The 22,552-nt window shown below is 38.1% G+C and overlaps 1 non-coding gene and 1 pseudogene across 2 annotated transcripts in view, besides 1 other annotated feature; both read right to left on the reverse strand.

Annotated features, from left to right (window-relative positions):
* Positions 1,095-1,220: a silencer, noted in NCBI's record as "fragment chr16:30288190-30288315 (GRCh37/hg19 assembly coordinates)". NCBI's record gives its function as "represses an EF-1alpha promoter that drives an FKBP-Casp9 reporter gene in an ReSE screen in K562 erythroleukemia cells {active_cell/tissue: K562}" and the evidence as "EXISTENCE:reporter gene assay evidence [ECO:0000049][PMID:32094911]".
* Positions 3,474-3,577, reverse strand: LOC124903798 (small nucleolar RNA U13). Its single transcript, XR_007065243.1, has one exon. It is a non-coding gene; the product is annotated as a small nucleolar RNA U13 (small nucleolar RNA).
* A 5,666-nt stretch (positions 3,578-9,243) lies between these two features.
* The window catches only part of SMG1P5 (SMG1 pseudogene 5), a 50,357-nt pseudogene continuing 37,048 nt past the window's right edge, over positions 9,244-22,552 (reverse strand). The window contains exons 7-13 of the transcript NR_002453.5: positions 18,792-18,917; positions 18,341-18,413; positions 17,325-17,422; positions 15,429-15,601; positions 12,787-13,011; positions 10,393-10,494; positions 9,244-9,683 (exon numbers count right to left, since the gene is read on the reverse strand). The product of NR_002453.5 is annotated as an SMG1 pseudogene 5 (transcript). The remainder of the gene's footprint in view (positions 9,684-10,392; positions 10,495-12,786; positions 13,012-15,428; positions 15,602-17,324; positions 17,423-18,340; positions 18,414-18,791; positions 18,918-22,552) is intronic.

Consider the following 22,552-nt stretch of genomic DNA (forward strand, 5'->3'; position numbering starts at 1 on the left):
CTGACAGGTCTTGTTTTTCAGTGTGATTTGCCACTAATTCTTAAATAAGAAAGGCACTCAAGTATTGCTGCTAACTAAAGAACAAACTGAAGATGCCTCCTGGTGAAGTGATTTATAGCAAGCTTCAATGCTGAAAGCAAACAAAGCTGTTTTAAGATTTGGCTACAATGTCAGTGAGTAATACAAAGAATTTAAACATAAAGTAATTCTATCACCCATTTCCTTCCCTCCAACCTACCTCCCTTCAGCCTGTTGAGCCACTGAGTTAATCCACAGAAGATTTTTTCCAACAATAGATGATGACCAGACAGCAATTCCCTGTATAGCTTCAGGACAATGAAGTTCACATAGTGCTTCTACCACCATCATAATGGTTACTTCCAATTCATTCCCCTGAAAACGCATTCAGAAAAGTTAGTCACCCAATACCATTAAAACATAAATCCCTATAAAATTTACAACTGATCACAGTCTGTGCCTGCTTAAAGCCAAATGTATTTAACAATTATTTTCACAATTTTCACATTATTTAGCTCAGAATTATTTAAAATGTTACATATAAAATAGCCACAAAGGGTGACTAACAGAACCTTAGCAGCACATGGATGTTTGTACCCCGACCCCGAAGTTACCCAAACATTTAACCTGTGACCTCTGTAGGAATAACACATGGAGTAAAAAGAAAGCAAAAATTAAATATAAATAAACAGGAATTAAAGAATGATTAACTTCATGTGTTTGAATACTGCTTGACATTACCTGAATTGCTAAACATTTTGTTATTTTTGGATTCCAGTTATTTATTGTGAGCCCACTTTCAAGCCAGGAATTACTCAAGCATTTGTCATACGTTATAAAAACAATTTCTCCTGGCCAGGTGCAGTGGTTCATGCCTGTAATCCCAGCACTTTGGAAGGCCAAGGTGGGCAGATCACTTGTGGTCAGGAGTTCGAGACCAGCCTGGCCAACATGGTGAAACCCTGTCTCTACTAAAAATACAAAACTTAGCTGGGTATGGTGGTGGGTGCCTGTAATCCCAGGGACTGAGGCAAGAAGAGGCTTGAATCCGAGAGGCGGAGCTTACAGTGAGCTGAGATCACACAACTGCACTCCAGCCTGGGCGACAGAGTGCTGTGTCTCAAAAAAATAAATAAATAAATAAAAAATATCCCCCATAAACAAATTTTCAGAATTACCTTTAAAGTTCTAAACTTTGCACATAAGAAATATAGTTTTAACATGTTCTAAGATGAATATTGTTTTAACATGAACAAAAACATGAACATTATTTTAACTTCTAACACTGTTTTAACACGAATAAAATAGGTAACTCTGGCAGTTGTTGCTTTTACAAAATACAGGATAAAAACCTTTGAAAATGAATCCAAGCTTTAACTTATTTTATCCATAGATTAAATCATACCAAAGGAATTAAACCATGTTTTTCTTATTAACAGACTTAAAATGAATTTCAAACACACCACTTTACCTGAGATAGGCTGGTTGTTTTCATCTCTGTAAGCAAGTCAAAGCCATGTCTCACTGTCACTGCAGGCTGGCCTGCCAACAATCCTACCCTCATGATGGAGAGTCGAATCCGCGTTAGCCAGTCCTGACAAGTTTGGCGATTGGTATAGAAAAAAGTTCTAATGACCTTTACGATAAGAGAAAGAAAAGCTCAGGACTGGTTCAATTTGTAGGTAAGGATGTCTCACCTATATATAAACCAAATACACAAGTCTATTGTGATTTCAGCTCTGCACATACTGCCAGCTGTGACCATTAAACTGCTATAAAACAACACTATCTCATGGAAACCAACCTTGGGAGGTGAAGTTAATGCATTAGCACATCCCTCGTATGCATTATACATTAATTTCTCCAGATATTCCAGATACTGCAGAAGAAGAACAAGTCTAAGTTGGTTGTTACCATGGCCTTCATCACTGTCTGCAGTTGTCCACTGACTAACATCCTGATCAGGGTTTAATGTGTGAGCTGCGAGACTTCGAATGATACCTGAAAGCAAAGACAACATTCTGAATTTTTAAAAATCTTAAAAGTTCCTAGAATAAGTGTGAGTTTTTTATGATCAATTCACATTTATCAAGTATCCTCTGTCTACCCATCATTTAAAAATAAAAAATCCCAACATGAAAGATCTTTCATTTTAGGGGAAAAAAATATATATTTTTTCCACACAACTCCCATAAGTTTTGGGAAAAAAACAAACATATTTCCAATGCAATTATTCAATGAAAGCTTATTCTAACAAACATACCTGAAAATTACTGACTTCTTTTCAAAAAAATCATATACTCTCAAATCTTTAACAAAGATTTAAAAATCCATTATTTCTTAATAAGGCTTTGAAAGTATTCACATCACAAAGCTTGAGCGAGTTACCTTCAATTGTCTGGAAGGTGTCTTGAGCTCTGCCCAGTGGGGTTCTCAGCTTAGAAAGAACAGTGAATTGTGCAGCTTCCCATACGGCCCACTGCCAAAGGATAGCATCTGTCTTCAGGAGATTGCGTGGAATTGTTGACTGGTCATGCTTATCCAGTCTCTGGCAGCTATAGAACAGTCTTTCCAACCAATTGTCCTTCCTGGGAAAAGTAGTTTCATATTTAAAAGACAATGACAACTTCATTTTAATAATGAAAAAAAAATGCAAGGGGAATGGGAATAAGGAACTGTAATTTTCCCTACTCCAAAAAAAGGCAAAACCTATGAAATTGAGAAGCATTATGTCCCCCCCCTCTTATTTTGAGGTCTTTTATAGTTAACAGGATGAGGTACAGCGTGGAAGGATGATTAGGGTAAACGGCTCATGCCGGTCAGGAATGAAACTCATTCAATGCAACTAAGCATCTCTAGAATATCTCCACCCCCACCCCATTCCCCAAAGTGTTAATGACATCACATCAGTTAACTGTTAACCACATTTCATGACTCAATTTCAAAGCCCATTTTTGTTTCTACAGATGCTATCTTCAAAGTAATTTTCCTATTGATGAAAACTGAAATAACCCATATGAGAAGAATGTTACTTGATACTCTGCCACCCCCAAACATATTTTCTCTTCAAAACTGCATGTAAAGTCAAGGGAATCTTAAAATTATCTTTCCTAGATAAAATAGTCAAAGAAATGCCTTACCCTGTTCTATGAGAGTTCCCATACAAAATAAAACTAATAACATCAGAGAAATCTTGGGGGTGGAATGTATTACTTGGTGCTTTACTCATGTGACTTCTTAATGCTAAAGAAATTTCTTGAATTTCTGTGTGATTGTTATTGCTGTAGACAGAAAATAAAGTTGTTGTTACGCAAAATATTTTAGCTTAAAAGGTTAGCACATACTGTAAGTGGATTATTTACTTATTAACTCACTGGAGGTAAAAATATAGAAAAATTGAGACTTTCAAATGGATACGGAGATGTGATTACAACTTTAGATCCTTTTTTTATTCACTTCAGATGGGTCATGTGCCGACATCATAAGAGGATTTGAGGGAGGCATATCAAACATGTGAACATAAAAACCCAATCATTATGCTTATGTATTACAAAAGGATCAAGTTTAGGCTCTTAAAAGCTCCCAAATCAACTTGATCAAAAACAATAAAAGATTACTGTTTAGTTTTTCAAATATCTGAGCTACTAAGAAACATATTTTGGCACTACATGAGTTATTCTATACTAATTATTGTGAGCCTATAAAGCTCATTAAAAATTTTTAATTTTCTTGCAGACCTGCAAAATTTGATTATTTGACATCACTTCAATCACTGACAAGCAGGGCCATAAAAGATGTGTCATTAATGCTCTAATAGGTGATCTGTCTTCTCCTAAAGTAGACAACCAGTAGAGGCTGTAAATATCACAGAATGTCTTTGCTCCAAAACAACTGTTATACCTTAGGATAACATCTAAAGGAATTGATTTCAACAGTTTTCCAAATGCTTGTCGAATACGAGTTCCACAGTGCACTAGTTGAACATGGCAAACATCAACACATCTATGAAAGAACGAAATAGACAAAGCAGGTGTGTTAACATTTCAAAGTTATTAGGATTAATGTCAAAAGACATGATCTTAATTTCATACCTCTGTAAAAGATCATCTGGCAAGGAAGAGGACAGAGCAGGTAGACTGCTGCATGCCTGCAGACAGATATTCACATCTTCAACGAGAACTATTAAACATTAAAAGACAGCTACTTTCAGCTGGCCAAAAGAAATTATATCCCAGTTTGTCATAATTATCTGAATCCATTCATTCATTCAACAAAGAGTGAGTGCCTACTCTAGACTAGGCACTGTTCTTGTCCAGAATCCTCATTGACTGTCACGTTTGGAAAAATGACACATTCAACAAAACCCACGTAATGTAACTGATGGGTCATCACACAAAACTTTTTCTGAGAGAAAATGTAAAAGTATATGCAAACTATAAACATTCACGTAAGCTTAAAAATGTGACAATCACTTCAAAACATTTTTCTAATACTAAGAATGAAAAAAAATCAAGACTGTGTATCTGTCATTAAAATGAGGATTACACATCTGCAGGTCAGGAAAAGAGCTCGATTGATGACCATCTCCCATTACCAAAGACCCTTTTAAGGATTGATAAACAAAATAGAAAAAAAAAAACAGAGTCTTACTGTTGGCTAAAAGGCCTTTGCAAAATTTATGGAAAGACGGAAGACAGAATAAAGGTGCATATGTTTCGGACTTCTTCATTAAAACAGCTACTTCCAAAGCCCAAGTCATTAACAGTTTCCTGAAACACAAAATATACAGTTGACTGTACATTAAAAACAATAACAAAAACAAAAAAACGTTAAAAGCCTAGTCTTCTTACATTGGTTTTCTCTTGGTTTTTCAAACATCTCAAACAATAAAAAATAAAAATAAAAAATGAAACTATAGAAATTACTGTCAAAATTGTTGTGTGCCTTTTAAGAAAACCTCCCAACGCAGCATGATAATAGCAAAGAGGCCGGGCGTGGTGGCTTACCTGAGGTCAGGAGTTCAAGACCAGCCTGGCCAACAACATGGTGAAACACCATCTCTACTAAAAATACAAAAATTAGCTGGGTGTGGTGGCGGGCACCTGTAATCACGGCTACTTGGGAGGCTGAGGCAGAAGAATTGCTTGAACCTGGGAGGCAGAGGTTGCAGTGAGCAAAACTCCGTCTCAAAAACAAAAAAAGCATAGAATATTAAAAATCTATATATATTCTTCTATGAAACACTGGGGATGGGGGATTGAGGTTTTTCATGTATTTCTTTTCAGAAAGAATAAGAAAGCCTAGATTAAATAATAAAACCAAATTATAAGGTGTTTGACAGTAAAGAAGCTGCTCTACCTCACCTCTATAATCCACATTTTTAAAAATTTTTTGTAATTCACATTTCTTATTCTCAAATTATAAAGGCAAATTAACAAAGTTAGGAATAGTTAATACTATATAAAATCTGTTACCTCGTGTCCTGGTTAAGGTTATCTTTCTTAAGTAATATTCACAGAAGATTTAATATAATTGAGAAATGTTTCTTTGTGGCCGTAGTTACAGTGCTAATCACAGCTCCATCAAACAAAGGAGAGGAAGAACTGAGGCTACTAGAGATAAAGTGATCATGCCTGAAAGACAAAGCATAGATTATCTTTTCATCTTTAATCAAAGAAAGCAAGCAAGTCCAAAGTTAAATCAACATACATCTTTAAAATCTATCCATTAAAAAAATAAAATGTTTTGTGGGGTTCTTAAGAAAAATTTGTGAATACAGTACCTGGTACAATGAGAATACAATGTGTAGAGCACAGCATACTGAATGGCAGGGAAGTGAACAGCCAGGTCACTGTGCACAATCATCAGATTCTTACTCAGAAGTGCAAAGACAGTTGGAGATAGCGCCCACATCTGATCATGTACAAAACAAAGTAAGTTTATGGCTTCTCCAAAATAAGCACAAGCATACAGAGTTTATCCTTCAAAACAGGGGTATTTGGACTTTTTTTTTTTTATTTGGACATTTTTAAATTAAAATTACAGATTGGAAGGGATCTAGTACACTACACCTTGGACAAATACTTTTTTGTGAAGTCAGTAAAGCCTTTGCGTGCAATATAGCATCTCTATGCAATGCAGCAACTCCTTGTCTATCACTACAGTAAGAAAACAGCCACAGGTCAGGTGTTGTGGCTCACACCTGTAATCCTAGCACTTTGGGAGGCTAAGGTGGGCAGATCACTTGAGCCCAGGAGTTTGAAACCAGCCTGGGCAACACAGCGGGACCCCATCTCTACTAAAATTACAAAAATTAGCTGGGCATGGTGGCGCACACTTGTAATCCCAGCTACTCGGGAGGCTGAGGCAGGAGAATCGCTTGAACCTGGGAGGCAGAGGTTGCAGTGACCCGAGATCATACCAATGCACTCCAGCCTAGATGACAAAGTTAAGACTCTCTCTCTCAAAACAAAACACCAGCCACATACGAAACACAGGAATGAGAGTACCTGTGTTCCAAGAAAACTTTCTTGAGTCGGAGTCTCTCGCTCTGTTGCCCAGGCTGGAGTGCAATGGGGCGATCTCAGCTCACTGCAACCTCTACCTCCGGGGTTCAAGCAATTCTCCCTGCCTCAGTCTCCCAAGTAGCTGGGACTACAGGTGCCCATCACCACGCCCTGCTAACTTTTGTATTTTTTTAGTAGAGATAGGGTTTCACCATGTTGGCCAGGCTGGTCTTGAACTCCTGAGCTCGGGTGATCTGCCTGTCTCGGTCTCCCGAGGGATTACAGGCGTGAACCACTGTGCCCAGCCCAACGAGAACTTTCTTTACAAAAACAGGCACTAGTGTTGCGATGGTTGTACACTTCTGTGAATATACTAAAAATCAGTGAATTATACACTTAAAATAACAAACAAAAAACAGGTGCTGGGCTGTATTTGGCCCACGGACCATAGTTTGCTGATCTCTGGTCTAAACAGAGCCCTTTGTATGTGCCTTTTGCGGAAGTAGACTGTATTTCTTCAATTTTCCATATACTGCAAATGGCAAGGTGCCCTGTTCAATAAGGAAACAAAGGCACACCCTGCCACTATACACCTTTTCCATCCATCTTTTTCCTTTACACTGCCAAGACACTCCATTCCACCTGACTGCCCCAGCCCCACCCACTTTCTCCTTATTTCTAGAGTACAGGACATAAACATCTTTGAATCTGCAAATAATGTGAATAATTTTCCTCAAAAATCAAGCTTTCATGTTTGAAGAAGAGTTTATTGTGACTTCAAACATAAGCTGTAACTGGTAATAAGCGAAGCAGCTATGGAATTATACAAGGCAATCCAATCAAACAACATGGAGCACACTGAAGCGCAAACATCAAATTTTACCTTTTTCCTCCTAAAAACTTTATTCCCTAATTACATCCATTACTTTCTTTGTTTCTTTCTTTCTTTTTTTTTTTTTTCTTTTGAGACAGAGTCTGGTTCTGTAGCCCAGGCTGGAATGCGGTGGTGTGATCTCAGCTCACTGCAACCTCCACTTCCTGGGTTCAAGCAATTCTCCTACCTCAGCCTCCAAAGTAGCTAGGATTACAGGTGTGCACCACCACCCCTGGCTAATTTTTCTATTTTTAGTAGAGGCGAACTTTCACCATGTTGGCCAGGCTGGTCTCAAACTCCTGACCACAAGTGATCAGCCCGACGTGGCCTCCCAGAGTGCTGGGTTTACAGGTGTCAGCAACCGTGCCCAGCCTACACCTATTATTTTCTATTAAAAATAATGTTTTTCAACTCTGTGTGGTCCAATAGGAAGAAGAAATACACAAACCATAAACAATAAATACAAATCAAGAGCAGGGCCACGTCGAATTACTTAAAAAAAAAAAACACACGGGCTGGGCGCGGTGGCTCGTGCCTGTAATTCCAGCACTTTGGGAGGCTGAGGCGGGTGGATCACCTGAGGTCAGGAGTTTGAGACCAGCCTGGCCAACATGGTGAAACCAAGTCTCTACTAAAAATACAAAAATTAGCCCGTCGTAGTGGCAGGTGTCTGTAATCTCAGCTACTCGGGAGGCTGAGGCAGGAGAATTGCTGGAACCCGGGAGGCAGAGGTGGCAGTGAGCCGAGATTGCACCACTGCACTCCAGCCCAGGTGACAACAGCATGACTCTGTCTCCAAAAAAAAAAAAAAGCTTTTTTTTTCCCCCCCTCCTAAAAGAAAGACTACAGGTTGAGTATCCCTTATTCAAAATGCTTGGGACCAGAAGTGTTTCAGACTCTGTATATGTTTGGATTTGAGAATACTTGCACATATATAAAATGAGATATGTGGGGGACGCGACCCAAGTCTAAACACGAAATTCACTTATATTTCATAGACGCCTTCTATTCATAGCCTGAAGGTCATTTTATGCAATATTTTAAATAATTTTGTGCATACAACAGTTTGGACTCATCACATGAGGTCGGGTGTGGGATTTTCCACTTGGGGCATCATACTGGTGCTCAAAAAGTTTCAAATTTTGGAGCATTTTAGATTTAGGATTTTCAGATTAGGGATGCTCACCAGAAAGTGTTATGAAAATATTCCAAAATCCGGCTGGGCATGGTGGTGCCCACCTGTAATCCCGGCATTTTGGGAGGCCAAGGCAGGTGGATCACCTGAGGTCAGGAGTTCACAACCAGCCTGGCTAACATGGTGAAAACCCATCTCTACTAAATACAAAAAAATTAGCCAGGCGTGGTGGCGCATGCCTGTAATCCGAGCTACTTGGGAGGCTGAAACAGGAGAATCGCTTGTACCCGGGAGGCGGAGGTTGCAGCGAGCCAAGATTGCGCCATTGCACTCCAGCCTGGGCAACAAGAGTAAAACACTATCTCCAAAAAAAAAAAAGTATTCCAAAATCCAAAATCAAAAACACTTCCAGTCCCAAGTATTTCAGATAAGGAATATTCAACCTGTATGAATGTTCCTAGGGAAAAAAAGACAGCCAAAATATAAGACCATGTATAAGAACTAACTTCAGTAGACAGAAAGAAAAAAGTACCAGGGGAAGAAGAAAGAGACCGCATTTTAAAACAACTATACAAATTTGAGCTGTAAGAAACACTGACATTTTCTATAAGCATGCTAGAGCAAATGGGAGAAATTCATAAGACGTTTTCTAGAAAATAAAACTAATATAAAAAAACTTATCAAGATTTGTCAAGGAAAAAGAAGAAACGTTAAATATAATGGCAAGAAAACATTCCTACCAATTTTATTTATCCAGGCATGTCTTAAATATGGCTGTTTGTTACATACAGTGATTCTGCAGACATGTTGACATGACAGTGAAATACATAAATATGTAATGAGAAAAGGCTTAACTGTGGATAAAACAAAGTCATTACAATTAAAGACTCGAGTTTTTGGCATTTCCAATTGTAGTCAGGGCACTGAGGTCAAATTTAACTACAAATTTTGCATTGTCTACATTGAACACATGATTCTTAAAAGCCTCATGTTTTATTTCAGAACAGGCCTCAGGAAGTTGCAGACTGTGCAGGAGGTTGTTTAGGGCACAAGTCATTTCTCCCAATATTAACTTATAGGCAGTCTCCAAAACAGGAATATTCTTCAAGCTGAGCATTGCTTGATAAACAGCATGGGCTACAGCAACAACCTGAAAAACAAAAAATTCAAGGAAGTGATAAATGGAAAATAAATCTTCTAAAATTATATGGAAAATAAATCACTATCTGTATTAGTGCTGATGATACAAATAAATTTAAGATTGATCAATTCACTGTCCGTAGCACTTAATATTTTAATTTTTAAAAAACCAATCAGAAAACTGACACAGATCAGTATGCTATTTCAAATCTATTAAGTTTTATCACAAATAAAGAGTACTATAAATGAAAACTGTCAATAGGAAATTTCCAAAATGGCCGTTTTTTTTTAAATAATCAACATCAAAAGACATATGCAAACAGCAATTTAAGACTGGGTTTCTTAAATCTACCAGGAAAGTCTGTGGTGGATTTGACTAGGGGGTGGTTGAAAAGCCAGTCATTTTTGTTTACAAAATATACAGTACTTAATTTATAACTTTATAAATGTGTCAACTTGTTTTACCCTTATGAAAATTTAATAAATTTAATAACAGCAAGAGATGCATAGTCTGAAAAGAGTATCTGGCACATCATTCATGAAAGTATTCAGTATGATTATCAAGAAATATAAATTTAAAAGAACAAATACAATCACTATATTCTAAATCAAACATTTCACATTTCACTCAATTTCACTTATATAGCCTGGTAAGCAACATTAGGTCCAACTCTTCAGTGACTCAAGTTGTCAAAATTCATTATCAGTGTATTACTTACCTCTTTTTCTTTATGATAACGCAAGAATAGTAGTTTAGATGATGGTATAAACAGTTTTTCTACAAATGATGATGGCAGTTTCGTATTTATCTGTTCAACAATCTAAAAGAATAAAATTTTTAAAAAATGAGCTTCTCAAATTACAAAAAGACATGGAGAAACCTTAAATGCACACTGGTAAGTGAAAGAAGTCAATTGAAAAGGCTACATACTATATGACTCCAACTACATGGCATTCTGGAAAAGGCAAAACGATGGAGACAGTAAAAAGATCAGGGGTTGCCATGGGCTTAAGATGGAGGGAGGGAGGAGTGAGGAGAGGGAACGAGGAAGGAGTGGGTAGAACATCAAAGATTTTTAGGGAAGTGAAACTATCCTGTATGATACTGGTAATAGGGGATACATGTCATTACACATGTTAAAGTCCATAGAATACATAACACAAAGTAAACTATAAAATTAGTTAATAATAATATATCAATATTCACTCCTTTGTAATAAATGTACCACACTAACACAATATGTTAATGAGGGGGAAACTGTTGGGATGAAGAAGGTATATGGGAACTCATTGTTTTCTGCTCAATTTTCTGTATATCTAAAAAATAAAGTCTTTTAATTTAGAAAAATATATCTAAGCTATATTTTAAGGCCTTAATACTGTGACATTAAAGTGTTTAGACACCTAAATAGGACACACGTATTTTACAGTTATCATGGGCATTTTTTCACATTAGCAAAGAGAGGTGTAATTCTGGCAGAAATGCTCAGCAGAATGTCATCTAGAATTTGCTTTAAAATAATCCAGCTGGAGATGAAAGGATAGCAAAGAGGCCTAGATGAAACCAGATGGGCCATTTGTTTCTAATTATAGAAGCTGAGTGTTAAATATGTACAAATTTATTATACTATGCTCCCTATTTTTATGTGCTTCAGAATGTCCATAATAAAAGTGGGGGGAGGATATTTATGGTTAAGAAATTAAAGGAGGCCGGCCGGGCGTGGTGGCTCACGCCTGTAATCCCAGCACTTTGGGAGGCCAAGGCAGGCAGATCACGAGGTCAGGAGATCGAGACCATCCTGGCTAACATGGTGAAACCCCGTCTCTACTAAAAATACAATTGTGCCACTGCACTCCAGCCTGGGCAAAAGAGCGAGACTCCGTCTCAAAAAAAAAAAAAAAAAAAAAAAAAGAAATTAAAGGAGGCCAGGCATGATTGCTCACACCTGTAATCCCAGCACTTCGGGAGGGCAAGGCAGGAGGATTACTTGAGACCAAGAATTTAAGGCCAGTCTAGACAATGTAGTGAGACCCCTTCTCTCCAAAAACTACAAAGGTTAGCCAGGCATGGTGGCATGCATCTGTAGTCCCAGATAGTCGGGAGGCTGAGTGGGAGAATCACTTGAGCCCAGGAGTTTGAGGCTGCAGTGAGCTCTGATTGTACCGCTGCACTCCAGCCAGGGGAATACAGCAAGATCCTGTGACAAAAAAAAAAAAAAAAAGAAAAAAGAAAAAAAGAAAGAAAAGAAAAGCAAAAAAGAAAGAATCTGGTGCGTAGAGCAATGTTTCCTCAGAAAAAACGAGTAAAGCTACACTGAGACTAGCTATCAACCACTAAAAATAGAGGCCTGGCAGAGTGGCTCATGCCTATAATCCCAGTACTTTGGGAGGCCAAGGCAGGTGGATTGCTTGAGCCCAAGAATTCAAGACCAGCCTGGGCAACATGGCAAAACTCCATCTCTACAAAATAATATAAAAAATTAGCCAGGTGTGGTGGTGCACGCCTGTAGTCCTAGCTACCTGGGGGGCTGAGGTGGGAGGGTCACCTGAACCCAAGAGGTCAAGGCTACAGTGAGCCAAAATCATGCCACTGCACTTCATCCTGTGCAACAGAGTGAGACCCTGTCTCAAAAAAAAATTGCATTAAAAATAAAAGTAAATAGACACTAAAATGAAAGCATAGATTATAAGACTGATGAATGTACTCTAAAAAATAATATAATAAAGCAAAGCCCTTATTTTTTTTCTTTTTTGGAGACAGGGCCTTTTTTGTCACCTTGGCTGAGTGCAGTGGCACAATCAGAGCTCACTTCAACCTCAAGTTCCTGGGCTTAATCGATCTTCCTCCCTCAGCCTCCCGAGTAGCTAGGACTGCAGGTGCACACCACTACACCAAGCTAATTTTTGACTTTTTGTACAGATGGGGTCTCACTACATTGCCCAAGCTGTGCCAGAATTCCTGGATGCAAGCAATCCTTCTGCTTTGGCCTCCCAAAGTGCTGGGATTACAAGCATGAGCCACCATACCCAGACAAAGTCCTTAATTTCTTACATATCGATTTAAGGGCCTGAATAAACCAACACATTAAAAAGGAAAAGAATAATTCACATACCAGCGTGAGTAAATTCAAGACTGAGATGATATAATTGGTACCACAAGTCTGGCAATTCTCCAGTTGGTCTAATCCATATGTAATGACCATGTCACAATGTATAGTCATGCTAGGATCCAAGCTGCCGAGCAAAACACCAACACACTCATTAGCAGCTGTCAACACAGCCTCAGAAAAAAACACCTGGTTTGCAGCCGTCACACATCTCATTACTCTGTACAGAACCTGTAAATGGGGAAAACAAGCAGCTTTTTACAAAAATTCACGTGCTTCCACAAAGCAAGAAAATACTTTTTATTTAATGCAATTTCAACTGAAAATTAACTGCTTGCCTTGCCAGCAGTCTCTTAATATTCTAGTTCTCAGTAGCTGAATAATAATGATCCCTTTACTACAATATGTAAACATGATCTTGGCTAAAAAATCCTAAAGTGCTACTATGACAGGAAATGGAACCTGCCATCCTCTATTTCCCATATACCCAACTTCGTTTCTCCCAATGTCACTAAATGGCTGAAGCTCAGAATCTTTATCATGAAATACACCACGACAGTAATGGTATTGACAGCATGGGAATAGCCTGCCCACACATACTACAAGCTAGCTCTTGGGCTTTTGGGAATCAATCTTTCAAAACTGAACATACAAGTCACTTTAAGCTTATTAAAGTTTCTATCTACTGATGGTCTCTTTTGAAAGATAAGCACTCTCATGCTTACCACATAATATCTTCAAAAATCATATTATTTCCAATACACACACAAACAAAATCCCCCACTTAACTATAATGGCCAATAATTGTGTACTAAATTTCTAATAAAATGGGGGAGAAAACAGAGCAAATGTTTAAAAATATTTCTATAATATTTAACAACCAATACATACAGGATTTTATTTAGTCTACCCATAGTTTTCATTAAAAGTATCCTTGGAGGTTGGGCATAGTGACTCACATCTATCATCCTAGCACTTTGAGAGGATTAGCTGGAAGGTTCTCTTGAGTCCAGGAGTTTGAGACCAGCCATGTCAACATAACAACACCTCATCTCTACCAAATTTGTTTTTAAATTAGTTGGGCGTGGTGGCTCACACCAGTAGTCCCACCAACTACTTGAGGCTGAGGTGGGAGGATCACTTAAGCCTGGGAGGTCAAGGCTGCAGTGAGCCAAGATCGTGCCACTGCACTCCAGCCTGGGCAACAGAGACCATGTCTCCAAAAAAAAAAGAGTGGGGGAGAGAGGGCGGAGGGGGAACCATTCTTGGCCATGCATGCACAGTGGCTCATGTCTATAATCCCAACACTTTGGGAGGCTGAGGTGGGAAGACTGCTTGAGGCCAAAAGTTCAAGACCAGCCTGGGAAACACTGAGACCCCATCTCTACAAAAATAAAAAATTAGCAGGAACTATGGTGGGAGGATCACTTGAGCCCAAGATACAGAGGCTGCACTGAGTCGTGATGGCACCACCCCACTTTAAAAAGAAAAACAAAAAAAGCTGGGTATGGTGACACCCGCTTGTAGGGCTGAGTGAATGGGAAGTTCACCTGGGCCCAAGAGTTCAAGACTACAGTGAGCTATGATTGCACTACTACACTCCAGCCTGGGTGACAGAGTGAGGCTCCAGCTCCAAAAATAAATAAAAAAAATAAAAACCCCACCATTCTACCATTCTCAAAGGCCTAAAAGATCCTCATAAATCAATATACACCTATCCTATAAATTATGTCCCTTTTATTTTATGTCTGAATTAACGGCTTTTTATTTCAACTCTGTACAGTCTTCAACCACCTTTTAGACATTAAAAATGAAGCAAAGATATTAAACCATTTTGAAACCATATTGGTTTAAAATACCAATATGCTGGTTTCATTTATCTTTAAGTTCTGACATTTCTGCTCAAGTACACAACTTACTATATAATCAATATCCTATTTTATTTAGCAACATGTTCAGCAAAAGTATATGCTCCTAAAAGCGAGTTTTATCCTAACAGTAAAATTTTCATCAGTTAGATTAATTTTTTTATGACTGTATCACACATGCTTCTTTCTCCTTATTCAAAGCAGAGTACAATGCCTGGGGTTCATTTCTTGTGTCTTTTCCACTGAACCCTCATTGGATGTGCTATATACAGTGCAGCTAATGTTTGAGGCTGCTGAAGTGTGGCAATCTAGCTACCTCATTTTTAATTTGTTTATGTTCTTTGATATCAGGCTATCAAAGAATATAAAGATATACAAGTTTTCATATGAGTTCCATCTTATGCTCAGAGAAGGTTACTTTCTGAGGCTTCTCCTATAGTGTGCTATTCGTAATATGTTGAAAAACTAAAAGGAAACCCAATAATTTAAAAGTAAAATTATAAGAAATATTATTTAAAAATGAAAGAATAAGATTTAAAAATTCAGAGTGGCCTTTTGTCATGGGAGGGTAGGGGAGTTGGATGAAAGGAGGATGAGATATAACAGGATTCCCTGCTTTTCTGGTTAAGAAAGCAGTCAGACAATATATACATATATACATACATACACACATGCTAAACAAATGAAGGATTAATAACAGTTCACCTGGTAAAGAGAATCATTTACAATGTAAAACAATTTTATTTTTGAATGACACTTCAAATGCCCAAAAGCACTTACAACTGTTACGTATGCCTCAGTAATTGGAGGACCCGAATTGGGCTGAAGCGTTCCCCAATGCTCCTCAGCACAGTACTAAATACCCGGAGAAGCGCAGCCAGCTTTGGTGATGACACTGATGGAGGAGGGACGTCTTCATCCACTGATTCCCCAGAGGCCACATGGCTGAGGTCCTAGATGTGAATTCACAGCATTCTTAATAAGTAGTACATTGTTTAAAAAAAAACAAAAAACTCTAAAATATTTCAATCAATTCATTTTAGAATAGATTTTTAGGCTTTTAGAAAGAGAACTGTGGCCCATGAGAATATTCATGACTCTGAATATAAAAATGGGTTTTACCTAATTATTTCAAAAAGCCAACATTAAACCCAATAGACAACAAATTAAGGAAATAATCTCTTAAATCAACTCAGAAAGCTGTCGGGGAAAAATAAATTCTAGCACATATGCTCTAGTTATATGTAGGTATAAATGAAGACGGAAGCTTTTGCCACTCCTGAATTAGTTTTTGGCTAAAAATCTCATTCTAGGTATTCTTTGAGCCACTCAGCTCAACAGTAAGTCCTCCAAACCAAGAGCATGCACATGAAGAGCAAAGGGAGATTACAAGACCTGGTCTACAGATGTGTAACTGAAGAAGTACGATATATGAAAAGGACAAGATTCGCAAAAACTAGGATACTAGAACCAATGTATACATCTACCTAAAATTAAGCACCAAAATAACAGAAGAGAATGAGATCTTAAGGATAACAAGGGGAAACATCTCTACAAACTAGAATGTGTGGCTTATGAGAGGTAGATCAGCTTTAAACGTGGGCTGTGAAAAAAGACATTCTAGGTGTGGGGGCAAAGAAAAAACAACGCAGAAGCAAAACATTTCCTTGCTTTTCTAGGAAAGAGTAAACACATCAGTACAGCTAAAGGTACTGAATTCCTGTTGACTACAAGCAGCAAAGATGAAAAAAACAAGATGAGGCCAAAATCTTTATGGGAGCCTTGATTGGTTGATCTGAATAGGGGAGAAACACAAAGAGATTCAGATAAGAGATGGCACAGAGTTAAGCCATGACAGTGGGGCCAGAAAAGCCAAGTACCAGTAACAGAGGCTTCAGCAGCGCTCTTAAAGCTCCTATGCTATATTCGTACAGCCACAAAAGCTGGCTGAAGCCAAGGCTTGTCCTCCAAAGTACGATTCAAGTTCTCCTGTACATATGTAAGAGGAAAATCTTTAGGAGCTTTTGGTGTTTTGTGTTTTTTTATAACACAACATCAATTTGCTTTAAGACTCTGAAGACTGGGGACAAAAAATAAAAATAAATAACAAAAAATGTCTTTAGAAAAATACCAGCTACCAAGAGTATGTAAAGCTTTGCGAAATACGAAGCTTGCAACGTTTCTTTTAGTCTCTCCAGTAATTCTCCTGGTAATTTAAACACATCTGAAATAAATGTTTAAAATACTGACTGGGCACGGGGGCTCATGCCTATAATCCCAGCACTTTGGGAGGCCGATGTGGGTGGATCACCAGTGGTCAGGAGTTTGAGACCAGCCTGGCCAACACGGTGAAACCCCGTCTCTACTAAAAATACAAAAATTAGCTGGGCGTAGTGGCGGGCACCTGTAATTCCAGCTACTCAGGAGGCTGAGGCAGGAGAATCATTTGAACCCAGGAGGTGGAGGTTGCAGTGAGCTGAGATCGTGCCATTGCACTCCAGCCTGAGTGACAGAGCGAGACTCCGTCTCAAAAAAAAATTTTTTTTCAAAATATTGCAATGGGCTTGTAATTTCTGCTTAAATGTCAGGAGGTCTGAGCCATTTTAAAATAAATCTAGCACAATTTAAGATTTTTTCTTAACCAAAATTTTAAGAAACAGCTTTCTATATACTCACCTCAGCATATGCTTCCATGTCTTCTAGAAACTGACCAAGAAGAGTCGTAGGAAATGCAAGATCAGCTACCCAAAATGGCTCCAAACTCTGCAACCACCCTTGGAATCGTATAAGAAATTGTGAAAGGGTAGGGGGGAGAAAAAACACCAAAAAATCCAAATTAAAAAAATATAAGAGGCTCGTTTTAAAAAGTATCTGGTTTTCAAGCAGCATACCCTAAAACATGTCCTATATCATAAAATTAAGACTGCTAAACATGCTGATCACGATTAACCAATACCTCTTTAATACCTCTTTAATTTCTGCAGAAATTAACATGTAAATGTTATTTCCTTACTTTTTCAGTAAATTTCATATCTATATTGTCACTACACATGACTTAAGACTAAAATGCCACAATCTACCATTGGCCTGGCTAATCCCAGGGCCACATCTAACCATTAAAGGTGTATACTCATCTCCTCAGTGAAAATGAAACAGACCACTATCACCTGAATATCCTATTTTCAAAAGTTTATTACACCAAGTAAGTTACGAGAAACTATGACACTTGAAACAAGCTGAAATGTGCAAATGAGCCACGCTAGTCATTCACTTAAATCCAAAAAAATGGGAAACAAAACCATTTCTCATTTATGACAATTCTCCAAATTAACCCTATATTTCCTTTTTTAAAAAAATAACCAGAAAAACAATAAAATGTGACAAATAACTTGGATCTTCCATTGTCCACTTCAGGGTATTGCCACTGCAATATATTCTTACCATATACTTTCCTACCAGTACAAACTACAAATAACTTGGGTAAGTCCTGTCTGTACTTACTCTACCCACCTACTAGTAATTTCCTCTGAAAATATATATTTAGCTAACAAGTCATGTTCATTTACAATAAAACATTTCTCCGAATTAGTTTTCTTGCATTATTAAAGAAATGGTATTGATAGATGGTCACTGGGGGACCACTGCTCCTCCCCGACAGTATTTAAATAACTGGTATAGGCTGCAAGACTTACCAGATACCTGCTGCGTGAGCGAAGGTTTCTGAGTATGATCTCTATGCCATCCAACTAATATATCAACTGTATCCTTGATGGAAACAAAGAGAGAGGGGGCCAATCATTTTAAGATATTACTGCCATTCACCTGTGGACCATTTCACAGCAAAAGATCCTAAAAGGAGCATCTATGTTCTACCTACTTGACATTCTAGAAACTTAGAAAGGGGAGAGGGGCAGGAAAATAAAAGAACTACATTTCTGACAACAATGAAATAGTTTATTTTCTTCAAATATTTTAAGGTACGAACGTCAGAAAGAAAAATGCGGCATTTAACCCTGGAACCTCAAATATCACTGATTATATTCAAAGGAGCAGAGGCATTGTTTTCCATCTGATTCCTCAGTTCCTCACACACACAACCATCCCCCTCACCCCATGATCTGAACAACGGAATGAGGAACTCACCCTAAAATTAGCGCTGAAAATATGAGGGTAACATCGAGCCACCAAAAGAATGCACTTAACACATTTGCAAAGCAATTCTGGTGTATCCACATTTTCAAGAATTGACTGCAGGCTGGTCATTACAAGCTTAAAAATAAAAGTTACAAACCGTGAACATTCAACAAAATAGGGAGAAAACAAGCAAATTAGGTTCATTATTTACTGACTACATAAAAAACTGAGTATGAGACCAAGAAAAATAGATTCTGTAGTTTTAGTTAAAAAAAAAAAAAAATTCACTTGTAAATCCCAACTGCTTGGGAGGCTGAGACACAAGAATCGCTTGAACCCAGGAGGCAGAGGTTGCAGTGAGCTGAGACTGCACCGCTGCACTCCAGCCTGGACAATACAGCCAGACTCCATCTCAAAAAAAATAATAATTAATAAATAAATAAATAAATTGAAAATATTTCGCTCCACTAAGATGTTAAGCTAAAAACAAATACTGCTTTCTCCTCTTCAATGTTTGTTAATATTAGTCCTTTGACATCAGTTAACATTAGTCCTTAATAACATCTGTTTACAATATCTCTAAATGCTCTCTTTAAGATTCTACCTGTGATTAAATTTCAAATACAAAAAAGTAAAATGGATTTGGGAAACTTTTCTATAAAGTACAACAATTACTTTGCAATCCAAAATATAAAGCAAATTTTATATAATTTATGCTTTAGTATATTAGTACTTGCTTCATATTAAAATTAAAGAAGATCAGTATGGCACCACACATGAATAACATGCAGGCTCAGGTTACCATTATACATAAATTTTTAAAATAAATATATGGCAAAAATAAAATAATAAATAACTATTTGTCATTCCATTGAAAGAATATTTATTTTGCAGCTGTTAAAAAACATTTTTCCCTAAAAAAGGAAAAGCTGCGCTTTACATAGCAATCTTATAAAAGAAATGCTAGAATCAGAAAACCATCATTTTACGCTGGGTGCAGTGGCTCACACCTGTAACCCCAGCACTTTGGGAGGACGAGGCAGGTGGATCACCTGAGGTCAGGAGTTCAAGACCAGCTTGGCCAGCATGATGAACTCCATCTCTACTAAAAATATAAAAATTAGCAGAGCACAGTGGCACATGCCTGTAATCCCAGCTACTCAGGAGGCTGAAGCAAGAGAACTGCTTGAACCTGGGAGGCGGAGGTTGCAGTGAGCCGAGATCGCACCACTGCCCTCCAGCTTGGACAATAGAGCAAGATTACATCTCAAAAAAAAAAAAAGAGAGAAAAAGAAAACCATTATTTTGCAATAGCCAATGTTATAATCTACACAGGCACAGACTATCAATGCTAAAAATCATTTAAAAGACATCTTAAGGGTAATTACAGAAATTTGAATATAGAACACATATGTAATAAAATTCATTTTCTTAGGTATGATTACAATATTCTTGTTATACAGAAGAAAAACCTTATTCTTGGGAGATGCATACTAAAACATTATGGGGTGAACTGTCATCATGTATATGGTTTTCAGATGCTCAACAAAAGTGTGTGAGAAAATAAAACTGTAGCAAAATATTAGTAACTGGTAAATCTAGGTGAAGCATATATTATGAAATTATTATCGTTATTTACAGGTATTTATTTTACTGGTGCATCTATCTTTCTATGAATGTGAGAATTTTCACAAGAGATGGGAAAATGTTCATAATTATGCATGCAGAATAAGCCCAAGCTGGTGGCATTCTGTTCAGTTACAGGTAATTTTCTGAATCCTCCCTCAAATTTTTCTCAAACCTCTATAATCAAGGGGGAAAATGTTTCGTTTTGTTTTGCTTTTTTGAGACAGGGTTGCCTATAATGGAGTGCAGTAGCTTGACCATAGCTCACTGTAGCTTCAACCTCCCAGGCACAAGCGATCCTCCTGCCTCAGCCTCCAAGTAGCTGGGATTACAGATGCATGCCACCATGCCCGACTTATTTTTTTTCCTTTTTTTGATAGAAACAGGGTTTCACCATGTTGCCCAGGCTGGTCTCAAACTCCTGGACTCAGGCAATTCACCGGCCTCAGCCTCCCACAGTGCTGGGGTTACAGGAGTGAGCCACCATGCCCAGTTAAAAATACATTTTTTATTTAAAAAAAAAAAAAGAACATTCCTTATATTTCCTTTATATTTTTTAAACTACATACCCAAAATAAAGCATATCAAAAACTATATTAAAAAAAAACCCTAATATCAGATATTCCAAACACAACAATACCATAATTTAATCACTTAAAATCTTACTCAAAACTAAATCAATGATCTTTTAGGCCAGGTGTGGTGGCTCATGACACTAATCACAGTACTTTGGGAGGCCGAGGCAGGAGGATCACTTGAGGTCAGGAGTTCAAGACCAGCATGGCCAACACAATGAAACCCCATCTCTACTAAAAATACAAAAATTAGCCAGGCTAATGGCACACTCCTGTAATACCAGCTACTCGGGAGGCTGAGGCAGGAGAATCGCTTGAACCTGGGAGGCAGAAGTTGCAGTGAGCCGAGATCATGCCACTGCACTCCAGGCTGGACAACAGAGCAAGACTCTGCATCAAAAAAAAAAAAAAAAAAAAAAAAGGAATGATGTTTTAATATATTCAGATACACAAATGTGAAATAAAACTAAGTAGAGCTGGTATTCATTTACACATAATTATCTTATACCATTTGGAATAAGAATTTGGGGCACGTTAGCAAACCAAAAGGCTCAGAAAGAAGTTGTGATATTTAGTTCTTGTCTCCCTCTACAAATGTGAAGCACTCTTCTATCCAGCATTCCTAGTGGAGTTCCTATTTTCAAATTTGCAAATCATTCTGGTCCTAAGCAATCTCAAAAAAACATTTCTAAAAACCAAAGAGGAAAAAAATCCTTTTTTTTTTTTTTTTTTTTTTTTTGAGACAGAGTCTGGCTCTGTTGCCCAGGCAATGGTGTGATCTCGGCTCACTGCAACCTCGGCCTCCCGGGTTCAAGCGATTCTCCTGCCTCAGCCTCCTGAGTAGCTGGGACTACAGGCACGTGCCACCATGCCTGGCTAATTTTTGTATTGTTAGTAGAGACGGGGTTTCACCATGTTGGCCGGGATGGTTTCGATCCCTTGACCTCATGATGTTCCCACCTCGGCCTCCCAAAGTGCTGGGATTACAGGCATATAGGCCACCGCGCTTGGCTGAGGAAAAAAATCTTAAAACTAACTTATTTCAAATCTAACTTCAACGTGTATCTTTTTTTTTTCTTTTTTTTTTTTGAGACAGAGTCTCACTCTGTTGCCCAGGCTGGAGTGCAGTGGCGCGATCTCGACTCACTGCAAGCTCCGCCTCCCAGGTTCACGGCATTCTCCTGCCTCAGTCTCCCAATTAGTTGAGACTACAGGTGCCCACCACCACGCCCGGCTAATTTTTTTTGTATTTTTAGTAGATATGGGGTTTCACTATGTTAGCCAGGATGGTCTCGATCTCCTGACCTCATGATCCGCCTGCCTCGGCCTCCCAAAGTGCTGGGATTACAGGCGTGAGCCACCGCACCCGGCGTGTAAGCCAATTTCTTAGAAGAAATCTCTCCCTCTTTCTCCACATATATGCATATATGTATGTAGCACTGATCCTTGAACAGTGTATCCTTTACTCAAACTGAGAAAGAGGAATTTTTAAAACATATTTCCTATCAGTAGATAACCCCTATTCTATGTTTCCCTTCTTCAAGCTCCCCTCCAAGGACATGTGTTAAG

Source organism: Homo sapiens, chromosome 16 (genome assembly GCF_000001405.40).
Source record: "Homo sapiens chromosome 16, GRCh38.p14 Primary Assembly".
Lineage (NCBI taxonomy): Eukaryota > Metazoa > Chordata > Mammalia > Primates > Hominidae > Homo > Homo sapiens.